The 17,279-nt window shown below is 37.7% G+C and overlaps 2 protein-coding genes and 1 long non-coding RNA gene across 6 annotated transcripts in view; 2 read left to right on the plus strand and 1 right to left on the minus strand.

The window, feature by feature from the left end:
* The window catches only part of CMSS1 (cms1 ribosomal small subunit homolog), a 363,871-nt gene that overhangs the window by 200,832 nt on the left and 145,760 nt on the right, over nucleotides 1-17,279 (plus strand). The window lies entirely within an intron of this gene.
* LOC105374010 (uncharacterized) overlaps nucleotides 1-17,279 on the plus strand; it is a 223,532-nt gene that overhangs the window by 200,832 nt on the left and 5,421 nt on the right. The window contains exons 3-4 of the long non-coding RNA NR_189163.1: nucleotides 4,626-4,829; nucleotides 6,735-6,865. This is a non-coding gene — a long non-coding RNA (uncharacterized LOC105374010). The remainder of the gene's footprint in view (nucleotides 1-4,625; nucleotides 4,830-6,734; nucleotides 6,866-17,279) is intronic.
* Nucleotides 1-17,279, minus strand: part of FILIP1L (filamin A interacting protein 1 like) — a 285,691-nt gene that overhangs the window by 189,883 nt on the left and 78,529 nt on the right. The gene's annotated exons all lie outside the window — the stretch shown is intronic.

A 17,279-nucleotide genomic window follows, 5' to 3' on the forward strand; every position in this document is an offset into this window, starting at 1 on the left:
AGATGAATGAAATTACATCAAACTTAAAAGTTTCCGCATAGCAAAAAAAAAAAAAAAAATCAACAGAGTGAAAAGGCAGCCTATGAAATGGAAGAGTGTATTTGCAAACCATGTATCAGGTAAGGGGTTAATGTATAAGACTGTCCTACAACTCAATAACAAAAAACAAATAAGCTCATTAAAAAATTGTCAAAGGCCCTGAATAGACATCTCTCAGAAGAAGATAAATAGCCAAGAGGTATATAAAAAGGTGTTGAACTTCACTAATCATCAAGGAAATATAAATCAAAACCACAGTGAAACATCACTCACAGCTGTTAGAATGACTGTTATCAAAAAGATCAAAGATAAGTGTTGGCAAAGTGTGAGGAAGAGAGAACCCTTATACATTGTTCAAGGGAATGTAAATTGATACAGCAGTATGGAGGTTCCTCAGAAAATAAAAATAGGTCTACCTTATTATCCATCAATTCCATTTCTGGGCATATATCCAAAAGAAAATCAGTGTCAAAGCAAAAAGTAGCCTGGTATGGTGGCACATGTCTAGTTTCAGCTACTCGGGAGGCTGAGGCAGGAGGATCTCTTCAGCCCAGGAGACTGAGGCTGCAGTAAGCTATGATCATGCCACTGCACTCCAGCCTGGGTGAAACAGCCAAGGGGTAAAAGACATAAAAATATGAATTGACAGGAGAGTAACCTCTCAAACCTTACCCTTACCGAAAGGAATAGCAGGTGATTGAAAATTAATAATAAGTGATGACATTTAAAAAATAATCTTAAAGTTCTTTAAAAATTTATTTTTAGTGATTTAATTTCTAAAAAGATTTTTAAAGTAATTTTTTAAAAGAGAAAAGTAAATACGTAAAATTGTTCTATTTTAATGTATTTAAAGACAGTAGTAGATACTTTTTTCCTCTAAAATTATTTCTAGATATCTTGACTATTGCTGTTGACTGTCTTTCCATTCCTTTTCTATGTAAAACTCTTCTCTTTTTAAACAGTATGAATGTATGCTGATGTATGTTTGTGTAAGACTGCGATTCACATTCTACAGAACTATCATCTTTCAAACTATTACAGCAAAATTAAGGAGTAAGATAATTTTTCATCATATTGTCATCCAACTTCATGACTTATTTTCATTTTTTTAATGTACTTGGCATGTATGGAAGAGAATTCCAGAAAGCTACAGTGACTCTTTTTTTCACTTAAAGGAAGTGGCTAGAATGAGATTGAGGGCAGGGGGGAATGTGGCACAAGGAAACTGGCTTAAAAGCTCTGTGTGTATTATGTGCAATTTTATTTTCTGAGTAATATCACTGATTCAGTAATTACCCTGGGTAGTAGCCATACAAGCTTTCTTGTTCCCTGGAAAGCCTTACTATAATCCAGAACTTTGCTAGCATATCATATACCTTGTAATTTTATTTTCTAAAATTAAGTGGCATTTAATGTCTTCATTTCCCCATGTAACCTTTTAAAAGCCTTGTATCTTCATTTATTTTATTGCTCCCACACCCTCTTTCTGTTTCACATAATTCTTTGCAATTTACTTCACTATTCTGCAAATAAATCATTTGCAGATTTTCTAAAAGCTGTATTCTCGCATTTAGGACTTGGTGCCATGGTTTCTTAGTAGAAGACAACTTTACAACCAGAAGTTGCAAGTTCCCCAAGTTCAAAATCTGTACATGTTTGCACTAGAAAGCCAAAATATTCCCTCTGTAGTCACTGAACTTCCAAAAGAAAATACATGCTGTCAGCCTAGACAGAATTGATTCATTTAGGCTCTAATCGTTTTGAAGGCCTCAGGTAGGGCTTGCGAGACTTAGCATTGCTTTGGCCATTCTGTTTTGAGGACTGCAATTGGGTTATATCTTTTGCCATAAGCTAAAAGGAATAGCAGCAGATTGAAAATGAATAATAATTGATAACATTTTTAAAATAGTCTTAAAGTTCTTAAAAAGTGTTTATTTTTAGTGATTTCATTTAAAAATTGCAAAGCGAGTATACATGTTACTATTAACTTACTAAGAACTATTTTTTAGAAAGTAATGAATAATTAGCTTTTTTTTTTTTTTTTTTTTTTTTTGAGACAGAGTCTTGCTCTGTTGCCAGGTTTGGAGTACAGTGGCACGATCTCAGCTCACTGCAACCTCTGCCTCCCAGGTTCAAGTGATTCTCCTGCCTTAGTCTCCCAAGTAGCTGGGACTACAGGCATGCGCCATCATGCCCAGCTAATTTTTGTATTTTTAGTAGGGACAGGGTTTCACCATGTTGGCCAGATGGTCCTGATCTCTTGACCTTGTGATCTGCCCGCCTTGGCCTCGCAAAGTGCTAGGATTACAGGCGTGAGCCACCACGCCTAGCCTAATTTTGCATTTTCTTAGTGCCAGTGTGCTGTACTTTTCAAGGCCGGTCAATTGCCTAAGACCTCAAATCCTGACGCAAAATTCCCCAGCTTACTGCTCTCACATAGAACACACTTGTGCCAGTGTCACTGCTTTTCCAGGCATGCAAGCAAAACCATTGGAAGTAGCTGAATTTCTAGTGACACCCTATAGAGCTCTCCTTATATATAATAAGTTCATTCTTCTTTGGAGTTGTTAAAAAGTGAGGCTCAGGTTTTTGTGCCCTCAACTTTATCCCCCTTGGTTTATTGCTGCCTTCCAAGTTCAGCATCTCAGCATTTTTATTTCAAGAAATAAGCTTATGATGCACAGCATTAAGCAAGACACTTTGGGAGAGGAGGAACCCTTCCCGGAATTTCAGAAGTCTCCTTGTAGAGAAAATTCCTGTAATGTTTTGTTTTACTTCAAAAATCTGAGTGCCAGAAAGAACAGAGTCAAGAAAGGAGCTATCGTGAGCTCTTGAATTTGAAGCAAAGTCTGTACTGTGACCCCATTTTAGAAGATCACTGGCCCTCCATAGAGCACTACTTTGAACAAATCAGTGAATTTTAAATCAAGTGTCTTGGTTGCTTATATTTTTAAAATCTCAAAAGATCTAAATTCAGATGCCAGTGAAAGCTTTGTAAAGGGAACCTCCCCTTCCTCAGCCTACCCTTAACTTGCATTCTAGGAACTTCTAGGTGCTTTAGATATCCCCTAAATGATTAAAGAATAGATTATAATTCAATAGAACAGTGATTTGCTGGTTAAAGGAAGAATAGCTGATACTTTATGAAACTGTTCTTAGAATAGCTTGGATGCTAGATCCCATTGTGTGTGTGTGTGTGTGTGTGTGTGTGTGTGTGTGTGTGTGTGTGAGAGAGAGAGAGAGAGAGAGAGAGAGAGAGAGATATGAGGGGGGCACCAAGACAGACATAGTTATACCCATTTCCTTTTTCCATAAAGCATTTGCAGTAGCTTGTAACCAACACACATTATAAAATTTACATAGGGATTTTTAAAATTTTAAATAAAAATAGAGGGAAGCCCTTGGAAAAGAAATGATATTAGAATAATGTTGAGTCTCTTGGGAATCCTGCAAGTTTTTTGCTTCAGATGCAATTGCAGTAGCATTGAGAGAGATGTCAAACGTCAAACACAGTTCTGTCCTGAAGAAAAGGAGCAGACCTTCCATTGGTCCTCCACTCCACCACCACCCTAAGTTGAGCCAGTGCCATGTCCAATATCAGCCCTTGGGCTTCACCTGGCCTGTGCATTCATTCTAGTTCCACTGTCTCTGCCTTCATGCTTGTTACGGCACAACTCTGCTACAGTATTCATTCCATTTCTTTGGAAAGGCCTGCAGTTCAACAATTGCACATCCCATTACAGAAACAGCATTGAGCATGATTTTGGAAAAATCACACATATATCTTATATTGGACCTGAGTATTCAAAGACAGTTTCAGACACCCTTGGTTTATTATTCTTTTGGCTTCACAAGTACATTCATGGAATGGACATAGATGAGGGATACCCAGAAACTGGCCAAGCACAGGGGAAAAGAAAGAGGGAGATTCCATTCTGCCTGACTCAGCTGGGATAGGTAGAAAACCTAAGGTTCTTTTTCTTCAGCAGTCATCATATGTTTCCATCATTTGTTCCCATGGTTATTTTCTGCTGCCCAGTTGTTATTTGTACTTATTTAAAAACATCAGTGCATGGGCCTCAAGAGGCAAAGAGAGTTGAGGTCCTACACTAGAGTCAGAATATTCAAAGTTTTGGACTGAGGTTTCACCTCTGAGCCATGCTTTTTTATTACACTACATTTGGCTGAAGATCTGACACTAGATGCACCATAACCATTGCAAAGGCCATGCAATCTCTTGCTTTTTAGATTTCTACTGACATTTTTGCCTGCTGTTAGAGTAGCCACACCTCTCCATGAGTTTCAGGTGTTTTAACCATTTAGGAAAAAGAGGGGAGGGAGAAAGAAATGAATCAGTAGTAAAGAGATGGTGCCTGAGAATGGAAAGATCACAGCTGAAAGTGGAGTATGTGCTACCTTCTGGCCCAGACCAGGTGGCTGGGTGTAGATGGACGTTGTGTGTATCCCCAATGCAGTAACCCTTACAGAGATAATTCTCCCAGTTTAGCCACCACGAAGTATTGTTCTTTGTTTTTCCATAGTGCTTGTCAAAATGCTATGACAACTGACTGGTTTTATGCAAACAGAGCCTGGCTCTCAAGAGACAGTGTGTCTGAAAGTCAAACATGGATGGCAGCCATTGGCACACAAAGGAGTCAGAAACCACAGATTGTTTTCTCGTTGGATGAACAGCTTAAAGCAACGTAAAGTTAATTGAAGAATTCCTTGAAAGTGAAGTCAGACTAAAAAGAAATGCTCCGAGTCTATAATTTACTAAATGTGAAAGAACTGTAAGTGGTATGAGACTAAAACAGTTTCTTGGGGGGAGAGAACATTTTTGTAAACAGATCTGGCTTTTATTTTTGCTTGGGCTGTTTTAATTATTTGCTCTAATAATGTAGATCTCCAGAAGAATCTCTAATTAGGTAAGGCTTGATTTATGGAGTTGGCCTCATATAAACCATGATGTATGTCATGGTATGCTGCAGAAAATTACAGGCCTGGTCTCGCCATTGCAAACTAGTATTTCTACCTAGAACTACTCCTGCTCTGCATGTCTTACTCTCAGGAAAGCAAAGCATACTATGTTCTCCTTCACAGTGCTCATTGCCCAGGTAAACTCAACATATAGTATTACTCATCAAATAATTTTAGCAAACATTTTTAAAACTGGGGAGAGAGGAGTAGAAGAAAAATGCTAGCAGTTAAAGAAATCTTTACTTCCTGGGAACTTAGTAAATACCAACCTATGATTCTCAGTAGAAGTGGGTTCACTCCCCCTTCAGCTGACAGACTGGCAAGGATATGCCAGACTATCAAGAGTAGTGTCTGTGTGTCCCTTCCTCCCACAACTCTAACTACATCTTCCACACTCCGTCTTCAGCTCCTTCCTGGAAAGGTCTTTCAGTGTCATGGTCGCCTATTTCATCTGGTTGTAAATAACAGCCATGGGGCCTCTGTAATATTTCACCATGGTTCTTACTCCCTTTCCCATTGCAGTAGAAGCCTTGGTGTAGAGCCAAGGCCTTTTCTTTGATTATAGGTTTGCCGATTACAATTTCCTAACATTTTTCTCATGTTAATTATACCTTAGTGATTGCATTTTCTATGATTTCTCATTTCAATTTTGTTAAATTTTGGCCCCTATAGAGCAGACTGTAGAAGGAATCCTTCTAGATTTTTACAAATTGTTTTCCTGTCTTCCACAATTGTCTGATTTACATCTGCCCTGAGAGTCAGTTTAAGTCACCTGCCTTTATCAGGTCTCCTTAGACTATTCAATGTACCTTTCATAGGAAGCAACTGTTTTCTTTCATGGTTATATTTCACCAGTTTACATCATATTAAATTATGTAATTATAGTAACAAATCCAACAGGCATAGGCAGGTTTGAGAACAAATACACCTCTAAACAGTTGGAAGAAATGCATGGGATATACTAGTGAGTGACCTTCTAGCCTCTCTTATTCAGCATGTGTGGGCTCAGTCCTGGTTGAAACACAGGGATAGAATTGGTTAAGTGGAGCTCAGTTACGGAGGCTTCTGAATCTGTGCTCTCCACACTGTCTTCATTTTATGGAGGGGGTCCAGGGTGGTTACAAGGCTTGCCCAAGGTCAGAAACATTCGTAGCCAAGCAGGCTATCCTGACTTTCAAGCTATCAGGGCACCAGAGCAGGACTGATATCCTGGGCTTTTAATGTGCTTGTCTGACTGCTGCCAAAGGTAAAAAATGCAAGTTTATCGAGCTTGATTTATTACCACAAAATATCTGTCTTGATGCTTACTTTACCCATAGTTTTTGTGTTACTAATTAACACGCATTTTTCTTTGAATTCTTCCTGATAATAAAACAGACTCTTTGTTATTGTAGGGAGTTAATCGAGGCCGTAAGATTTCCCAATTCTGTCAATGACCATACTTAGCTAAAAGAGAGAAAGGCTGAGTGGAAGAATTTTCCTATGCCTATAGTAGGGCTCGTCCTTCTTGCCACTACACAGCCCCATACTGTTTGTGGCTATTTTTGTTGGTCTAAAGGGCACAGGCCTCTGAAACAAAACTGCTTTTGGGTTTGAGCCAGATGATTAGGTTTGTATTTATTTGATCACATTCACAAACCGTATTTGCTAACTTTCCTAATACCAACTTGGGAAGATTTTTTTTAAATCACTTTCCTTCTTCTCTTCCTTCCTTCCAGTGTTGTCTTCCTTCCCCACCCACTTTCAGAAAGGATTTGATGTTGCCTAGGGTTAAAATAGATAAATAAAATCAAAACCATTAGGATGAATACGAAGGAACGGGGAAAGATGTTATACTCGAATCCCTGAGGTAAGATGGCTTTGCTGTTATATTGAGCAGTGCATTTAGCTCTGAGCTTCCTGGTAGACAAAGTGAAACAAGTCTTTGGGTTCATGTTATTTCTGTTTGCTGAGGAGAAACATACCAGGTCGTCCACAGAGACATTGTTACCAGGCACTTTATTCTAAGCCAGTGATTTTCATGTAAGTGAAGCTAAATAATCATCTAGAATAGGGGATTCACATATACATTAGAGTTTGAGAAGCTCTGCTGTAGTCGACCTCCATTTTTTGTTGGTAAGCCCAGGGAAGATAAATAATTTGCCGGTTACCAGGCTTGGTGGTGATAACACAGGCTTAGAGCCAGTTTGCCTTGGTACCAGCCTGGGCCTCGGAGCTCCCTTGTTTGGAAAGCACAGGTGTAGTGAGATGTGGTATTAGAGCTGGTATGGTCAAGTACCTTACCTCGCTCCCAGGCAATATGGACACAGACTATGACCTGAGTCTTGGGATTTAGACTTAATGAAATCAGAATATGTGAAAGAGGAGTTTTTTTCAAGAAGCTTTTCTTTTTACCACGAGGCTGGACGAGGCTGGACCTCTGTATCAGGATGCTGTCAAATTGCCATAGAGGAGAAATCTGGAAGAGTAGGCTGTAGCAGGTATCCTTTTTATGGCCTGTTTTAAAATACTTTGTCAAAAATGCCCTTCGTTTAGTCAAAATTGTGGGCAAATTTATGTTATATTTTTGCTGCCATGAGTATATGGTAGAACTTTGGGCAGGGATCCTAAACTCAAGCTGTCTGCAGGAAACAGACAGGCACGGACAGCTATTTATTATTCAGAAGGCCAGACATAAAACAAGGAGCAAGGTCGATAGTGAACCAAAGGGCCAGTGTCTTGTCTCGATGGGGCAACTGCTTCTCAGCTCCTGTTCATTTTTTATCATGTGAAAAATGCAGTTATGTAGTTGACCAGATCTTCCAGTATTTTGAGAGGAGCTGGAAGTCTGGATTATTAAATTAAATCTCCTGATTTTAAATGTTGGCAACTCTTTTCTTCTACTTGTTCAAAGCAGAAAACTTGGAGTTGTCCTTCACTCCTGTCTTCCTTTCAAAACCCACATCTAATTCATCAGGAAATCCTGTTGGCTCTATCCTCAAAATATATTCAGAATCTGATCACTTCTTACGGATTTCTGTTGCACTACTGTGGTCCAAACCACCACCGTCTCTCTCCAAGATTGTTGCAGTAGCCTCCTAACTGGTCTCACTGCTTCCATTCTTTCTCTCCTGCAGCCAGAACTGTAAGTCAGATCACATCGCCCCACTGCCCACAATCCTCCAAAGTCTCCGCATCTTACTCAGCATGAAAGCCAAGATCCTCCCAATAACCCATAAGACTCTCCGACCTCATCTCTGCAGCTACATTGGCCTCCTGTCTGTTCCTCACATATGCCAGCTCATTTCCTCCTTGTGACCTTTGTCCTTGCTGTTCCCTATTTTTCCAGGTATCTCTACGGCCCATTCATCCCCTGCATCCCTTTGCTTAAATGTCATCTTCTCAGTGAAACCTGCCTTGGACACGCTATCTAAACTTACACACATGAATACACACATCCTTCCTCTCCACCTTCTCTGCTTTTTGTTTCTCCTTATCACATATGGTCTAGTACACTCCATCAATTTTTTATTACCTGTTTTCTGCACTAGAATGTAGATTCCACGTGGATAGGGACTTTATATGATTTTGTGTATTTGTTCACTGCTGTTTACATCTGGAAATGAGCCTCACACATGGTAGGTGTTCAATAAATGTTTGATGAATGAATGAATCTTAAAAACAATTTTTTTAACTTTGGGCCAAATAAAACTCTTCAATAGGCCAAACCTGGGCTGTACTTCTTTTGGCCTAGAGTCAAAAAGAAGAATGAGTGCTTCTCCAGCAGCTCCTTGTAGCTTGGGAACAGACTTTATGAATGCATCATGATGCCTGCCCTGCTCAGGAAACCACAGATGAGTTCTTCCCTTCCATTCCCACATGTACCCTCCTACTTCCACCCTGCTCAACTTCGATACATGCTTATTGTTTTGTGCCTCAACATTGTTTTTCCCAAGGTATTGCTGTTTAGAATATGGAAAATGTTGTGTGAATTATTTCAGCCTCCTGAGTGAACTTTCAAATCTCTGAAGGTAGCACACATTTGAACAGTTTGACTTGCTTTCTGCAACACAGAGTTTAGAACTGGGCAAGCAATAAGTCAGAGGAAGATTATCTCAGAGGGAAAAGCATGTGTAAAGACAGGTGTAAAAATACCCATGATGCTTAGGAAGAGAACAAGTGAAACTAGAGTTGGGAGTGAGAGGGAAAGTGGTCAGAAAAGATGTTGGAGAGTAGACAGGGCCAAATCTTGCAGACCATGGTAAGGAGTTTGAATGCTGTTGTTAGGTCCAATGGGAAGCTGTTAAAGAATTTCTAAGTACTGAAATGATGGGGTTGGATTTATATTGATTAAATTTTACTCTGGCTATTCTGGGAATTTAGGAGACGAATAATAATAATGACAAAGCAAATGCAACTAACATTTATTAAACACTAATGCCAGGCAGCATGCTAATTGCTTTATACAGATTATTTTAGTTAATTCTTACATCATTCCATTGAGTTAAATGATATCATTATCCCAGTTTTGCAGATGAGGAAACTCAGACACACTGAAGCTAAGTAATTTGCCTGAAGTCACACAGCTAACCTATCAAACCCAGGCTGTCATTTTTCAGCCTTTGTTCTTACTTAGCCCTTAACCTTTACTACTTTTGACTCTTCTTCCAGTACTGGATTCAAGATAAGCATTTAGGAGGTTATTGCTATATTCCAGGCAACAGCTGGTGGTTGTTTGGCCTTTCTGCTAAGGTGGTTTTTCTGTTGTTCCTTGTAAGTTTAATATTCATTCTTACAGATGGAGTATGATTTAATTCACGTTGGAGAATAGGCCTTAGCAAAGACTGAGGTAATATATTTTATTACTAATTACAAAATTTTTCATTATTTTTTAAAAATAATATGTATTTACCTAGTAGGCACTTAATAAATACATGTAAATTATAAATATAAGGCTAAAAGAGACAATAATGGAATAGCATTTTTTTCCATTGATGGAAGTATTTATGATAATTTATCCAGTTAGAAAATAATCTCTAGTTCCTTGTCAATGATAATAGCACATTTCCAAGAGTCAGTTCTTGTTTTCTTAAGAAGAGTTGACTCTGATAAGCTATCACACCAACTGTACTAGACTCCAAACTCATTACTGTGAACTATTCAATGGTGATGTGTTTCAATACACCTTTTTACTGAGGTGTGTAACACACACAAAGACACACACACACATATAAACATAAACATATACATATATATCCTGTTGATGTTTTACAAGCTCGTCAGTCCGTTACTTGAGCAGTTACTTGAGCACCTAAACTCAATTCAATTATTTTTCTTTAAAAAAAATTTTTTTGAGCCTGGAATGGTGGTGCATGCCTATTGTCCCAAGCTACCCTGGGAGCTGAGGCAGAAGGATTGCTTGAGCTCAGGAGTTCCAAGCCAGCCTGGGCAACATAGCAAGACCTCGTCTTTAAAAAATAAGTAAATAAAAACTTTAAAAATTTTTCAGATTTATTTGTCTAAAAAGAATTATTTTTTATTTTCACATGTATAAATAAAATATTAAAATTAATTTTAAAATATATTACAAAAATAAATTTACTTATTTGTACAGAAAAGCTTTGTTTTAGTCACATAACACTATTGATTTTGATTATGATAATTGTTCAATAAAGTCAAGTCCCCTAGGCACAGTCTTCTTAATTGTATCCACTTTAGTTACATAAATAAAAAGCTAAATAGTCATTCATTTTACTGTTGCATTTGCAACCTTTGCCAAGTTACTATCACATTAAATAGTGGTTTTGTTTCTAAAAATATAGCCTATATATACATAGACCATACCAGTGTGCATTAATTGGAGTTTATTAAAGACATAGCTTTTCTTTGAGCTTAAGGTTTATTCCAGCCTAAATAGTCTAATCACTAAAATAAAAAAGCAAATACTGAGCAGTTTACTGACATTCCATAGAAGATAGAATAAGACTTAAGTGTGTGAGAACAGTACAACATTTCTGATGGTTTCTTTTTTAAAATAAAAACCAGCAACTTCAAAATTCTGCTAGACAAACTGCTACTAAGAGGGCTTTTGTAGCTGAGCCTGTCACTACGCTATATAGTGACCAAAAGGGCAGATTCTGAGTCATGATAACATTCTAGGAGATGTCAACAGTCAAAATAAAATCAAACTATATGTCATCTGGAAAGCTGAGATAAAGACCAAGAGATCTTGGAACGTTTAGAAGCAGCCCAGGTGTGACATGAGTGAGGACTCTAAGAAGAAAAACTTCACAGCTGTTTGTAACTTTCTCACAACTGCTTCACATTTCTCTAGCATGGAATGGAAAGTATAGAAATGAAGAAAATCAGAACTGGAAAGGACCTTAAAACCCTTGTTTTACAGATAAGGAAACGGAGACCCAACGAGCACCAAACACTTGCCTAAAGTCACACAACTAGAGTTAACCATAGGACTGAAATTGGAATTTGGAACTCCTATTTTCTAGTTTAATATTATTTTCTCTACTCTTTTTGGGCATTTTGACTGTATAGTATTGGAGTTGTACCAAAAGGAAAAGAGCTGGCTTGGATGAGAAAGGGATCTATGCCACCAGAAGTCAGTGATCAGGCCAAAACTAGACAGTGGCTCCCTGGCATGCGTGTTGGTTTTCCATGAAAGAAACTTGGACTCATTGTCCTCTAAGAGCTTTTCCAACTCTAATTGTAATGAGTATTGATAATTTTCATCATATTTGTAATAGGGTAATGATTCGTCCTCCCTACTTAAGGCATTATTGCTCATTCTCATTCATGCATGTCTCATCTACTCTAGTCTTTTCTCAGAACCTGTTTTCCCGTTGAGAGCACCTGTTCCAAAGTTGCTTAGTAATGCAGTGTGACTAAAAAAGCAGGCTAAGACTCCAAGTTCAGTTCACCATTTGGAATCATGAGTAATCATTGTCCCCACAACTAATTTAACCTTCTACATTAAACCAGTATCCAATAACTGCTGCTTTTCCTCTACCATATAAACACAAATCAGCTATATAGTTAGCAAAAGGGAGATTGGTGCAGTGAAATCAATCCGTTTTCCCTCCCTGTAGCAAGGATGTGGTATGGCAAAAGCTTTGGTCAATTTATAACCTAATAAGGTATAAGTGGTTTTTAAAGTGCACTGTGGTAAAATTTTCTTTACTGTGCAACTATATAGATATTCTTGGCTTAAGAATGAAAAATATATAGATTTGCATTATAATATAAAATCTATGAGATATGAAGTCTGATGAGAAATATATTTACCACCTGATAATATCTGTGTGAATATAAACATCTCTGTTACTCTCTTCCTAACATAAAATGATCTTTGCCCATTCTGCCTTTATTCCTTTGTCCAGCTGTCAGATTCTATTTTTTTCTGCTATAATTTAGAACATATTTTCCTAGACATCAGCATTTTTAGACTATGTACTTAAATGTCATATTTATAATAGGGAATTTCCAGAAAACAAGTGATTCAGTCTCATATGCCCAAAGTACCCCATTCTCTAGTGGAAATCAGGATGAGCTATTCATTGTATTAGTTATGTGGTCACAATGGAGGCCTATCTCCATAGGTTTAAAACAGTAGGTTTTAAACTTTCATCTAGCAGTCCAATAGAAATGTTTCCAAAGTTCCTGTTACCCTCGTTTCCACTCATCCTGGATTGATTTGGGAAGTGGAGTGAGGAAGGAGTTGGTGGTAGGGTTCACATTATCATCATGGTGATCTAGTAAGTGAGTGAAGGATTCCTTTTTTCAAATATAAAGGAAATTCAGAGCGCAACAAGGAAGAAGCCACGTTACAGAACTAGAAAAGTAATTGTCCAAACTGAGCATAAAAACCCAACACCCAAACAAGACCTGAGACCCGCATCCCTTGGCTCCTCCTGTGTTCTTTTTTTTTAACTAACGCATTCTCTCCCCTCAAGGAAAAGTCAAGCTAAGCCAATTTTCCTTCTAAGGCTGAGGATCTACGACAAGAAGGCAAAGACAGGGAGGGAGGACCTTGTATTTTACGTTTATTTGCCTCACTTTCTCCAAAGGGAAACACCCCACTAGGGCAGTGTCAACAGACTTTTTTGTAAAAGCAAAAATAGGAAATATTTTAGGCCTTGCTGGCCATATGGTCTGTGTAGTAACTACTAAACTAGGTCAAAATCAGCCAAAGACAATACATAAATTAATGAGCATGGCTGTGTTTCCATAAAACTATATTTTGGACAGTTAAATTTGAATTTTATGTATTTTTCATGCATCATGAAAAATCCTAATTTTTAATTTTTTCAGCTGTTTAAAAATGTAAAAATTATGCTTTCAGATTATATAAAGACAGGCTACAGACCAGATCTAGCCCATTAGCCATAGTTTGCTAAACCCTGCCCTATGGGAATAAATAATGAAACATGAGGAAGATTGTAGGTGTTAAAACATGGAGTAAAATATGATACTTGAAAGACAATTATTTAAATGTGGTAGAGGAAATTATTGATATGTATGCCTCTTTCAGAGAGAGCAGATGGATGCGTTGGCCCTTGATTCTGTTTTAGGTAATCTTAGTTGGTACTAGGTCAAATTCCAGATTGGTTATTTTGATTTACTCTCTTAAGATTTATGAAATGCAGGTTATAGCTGGCTTTAGAGAAGAAAAGTGGAAATAAGAAGAGGACATGTGACTTAGAGCTTGCCATAAGGTATGCAGAGCCAACAGAACATTTTATTCGGAATGGCAGCTGGTGGTTTCTGTTATCTGTGAATCATTGTGAAGTCTGTCTGAGGCAGAGAGGAGACAGCTAGCCGAATTCCCCTTTCGCAAAAACTGATTCATAACATTGTAAAGCTCACAGAAAATGCATTTTGTATCACAAGAACACATAAAAATCTCTATTTTTTGACATAAAGGCTATATTGACGAACTTTAAAATAAAAAGAACCTGTAAATGTAAAACCATAAAGAAACATTTTTTAAAATAGTATGAATAATTTATGGGCAGTTGAATACAGCTTTTGTTGCTTTGTAGGTAACTCACTTATAACAATTGCATAAATGGTAATGCAGTTGTGTGTAACAAAGGACCATTAATTATGACACTTATGACAATGATAACATAATTAACTATTTTTTGAGCTGCTACTATTTGCTGCCACCTAACATACATTATTACATTTATTCCCTGCAACAAGCCTGCAAGGTAGGTATTATTCTCCTGTTGAAAATGATGCTGAAGTTCAGTCACACAAACACCAAGTACCAGGGCCAAACTGCAATCCATATCCCCCTCACATGAAAGTTAGTGTGGTTTCCACTCTACTGTTACCATTGATGAGACATGGTAACCAAAAAAAAAAAAGAATTCAGGAAAACTATCTTCAACTATATTGCTGGATAGCATTACTTTATAAATATTAATTTTACTCTGTGGTTACTGTATGGTAATGGAATTATTTTGGCCCCTTAAAACCTTAGAAAAAATCAAACTAATTGTGCCTTGTAACATTTGTGGTTTATGTGTCCATTGACTGCTTGCAATTTCCAGGCAGGCTGCATCCTTGAACTATTCACTGTCTGAACTTGCCCTCAAAGAATTCTTCCTCCTGCCTCACCTCTATCGAGTGGCAGCCAATGGAAAACCCACAAGCTCAGCAGCTGCAGCTCTGGAAGGCTTCCATCAAACCCTCATTCCCAAATCCCCTTTGAAAATCACAGCTCCTAGAGCTTTGTGTTATCTTCTTGAAGGTCTTGACTAATGTTTGTAACATTGTAAAACTTAAGCAAACACTGTCTTCAAGACCAGGATTCTTAAAGTTGGACTCTGTGTTAACTTGCCTGCACCAAATCATGTACTGCCCCTCAACTGCACTCTTAAATTCTTACCCTGGAAAGTAGCCTGAAAAGCAGATATTAGGACGGGAGCTTTTTAAATGGTCAGTAGGAAATTAAAAAGCTTAATAAGTTCAGAAAGTGCCTCTTTGACAATTCAGAATTGATTTTAAAAAAAAACCTGATATATTGAAAATATGTGGTGACTCAGCCCTGTTCTTGCTCCTCTAAATTTTATTCTTTCCATGAATTGTTTTTAGGATTTAGAGGTCAAGTATCCAGTATACCTGTCTCAGAGGAAACAATATTATTTTCCTAAGTGAACATCTAGTACAAAAGTGACTGTTTTATGTATAACTGAGCAGTACCAAAATCCAGTTCTTAGCCAGCCTTTTTATATATGAATCATATTATTTAATCCAGATTTCTTTGAAACCACAACCAGACACACAGTATGGTTATTTGATTGAAGAAACATGGTGCTATTATTCAACCCGCCATGCGTTATTTTGCTTACATTAGTGACCCGTTAATACACTTAAGAAAAGAAGTAATTTGCATCATCATCCATTGAAATTGACAAGACTGGATGTTGGTGATTATGGACACTAAATTCCATTGTGGGGAAAGTTCCTGATCTCTGTGTAGCACAAGACTGGTTTTTCTAGACTGTCTCAAAAGTATATCCAGGAACTCAGAATGGGGGGAAAAAGCTGCAGCCAGGGGACAAATATGTGCTAATGTACCACTTATTGTCTGGAGAAAATGTACACTCATGGCAGCAGTAAGAAGTTATTTGGTCTGTATTTATTTACAATGTGCAGGCTGCAGAATGTTAGCATTCTGATTATGGCCAGATGTAATGGAAAGAATTCACTAGCATTTTCACACTGGCTTTAGTAAGGAATGCACTTTTTGAATCAACATTGGTTAAAAGGTAGCCACTTCGTTCCAGTAATCCAAAAGGTTCTTTGTGTTGCCTAAATAATAGAGGAAATTATTTGGGGCCTCAAATCCCATCTGAATTGGCTGCTTTTGGTCATTTAAACATGCTTCCTTATCAGTAAAACTAAGCAGACACTTTTAATCTGATAGCAAATGTCTAGTATTTAGGTAAGACAGTGAGTTTAGATTTATGATGGGGAACCCTCAGAGTTCAAAGTACACCTGCTTGAAATAATGTTGATAAAGAATATTAGTGTCAGTTTTCCTAATGGGAAGGAGGGGCATGCTTTAAACCTAGACTTTCTATGAAATATGCAGCCTTAGGAGAATATCCACTCTGATCAGTAAACGGTATATACATACGAATATATTTGTTTGTGGTGTTTTTTCTCAGTAGAATATCTCAATCACTGCAGTAGTCCACTTTCCTATTTTAATGTTTTGACTATCAGTTGTTTAAGTATCAAAAAACAACTTGGGATGTCAAGAAAAAAGCCATTTTGCTATCTCCATGTAGTCAGCAAAATGCTAGGGGGTTCTCTCCAGATAGCTTGAAGACCTGTTTATCTTATGTTATTTTTTAGGGTTGATCTGTTATCATAAATGTATATTCGAAATTGTTATCCAAATTGTATGTGTTTCAAGTTTGTGCTTTCTAGGATTATTAGCAATTTGATGATGAAAGCCATCTACATTTTCAAGTCCCTTGAACCAAATGTATTTTAAACAATTAAATTCATAAATGAATGTCCATGCTGTGCGCATATTCCTCCTTAAATTATTAGTATTATTATTATTATTTGAGACACAGTCTCACTCTGTCACCCAGGCTGGAGTTCAATGGCACAATCTTGGCTCACTGCAACCCCCGCCTCCTGGGTTCAAGCAATTCTCCTGCCTCAGCCTCCGGAGTAGCTGGGACTACAGGCGCATGCCACCACGCCCAGCTAATTTGGTATTTTTAGTAGAGACAGGGTTTCACCATGTTGGCCAGGCTGGTCTCGAACTCCTGATCCACCCGCCTCAGCCTCCCAAAGTGCTGCAATTACAGGCGTGAGACACTGCACACAGCTGAATTATTTACTTGAATTTTTTAATGCCCTCTGGTTCCCAGTAATCAAACACTTTGACCTTTTTCACCCCACCAAACTGTTAAAGAAATTGAACCATAGAAGAGGCAGAAACTTTTATCATTCTGATATAGGGGTATTTCTTGATTACCTTTAAATTTATTTTATTGTAATAGAAAAATTCAAATGTAGAGAGAAATGGAAAAGAAAGAATCCCCATGTGCTCATCACGAGCTATAGCAGTCATCAACTCATGGCCAACTTTGTTACATCTTTATTCCTTTCCCCCACATTGGATTCTTTGAAAGCAAATCACATACATGTAATTTCTATGGATGGTCTATTATGTGATTTGAACTTTGTTGGGCTCTGAGGATAAAAAGATGAATGAGACATAGTCCTTATTCTCAGGG

This window comes from Homo sapiens, chromosome 3 (assembly GCF_000001405.40).
Source record: "Homo sapiens chromosome 3, GRCh38.p14 Primary Assembly".
In the NCBI taxonomy this organism is placed as follows: domain Eukaryota; kingdom Metazoa; phylum Chordata; class Mammalia; order Primates; family Hominidae; genus Homo; species Homo sapiens.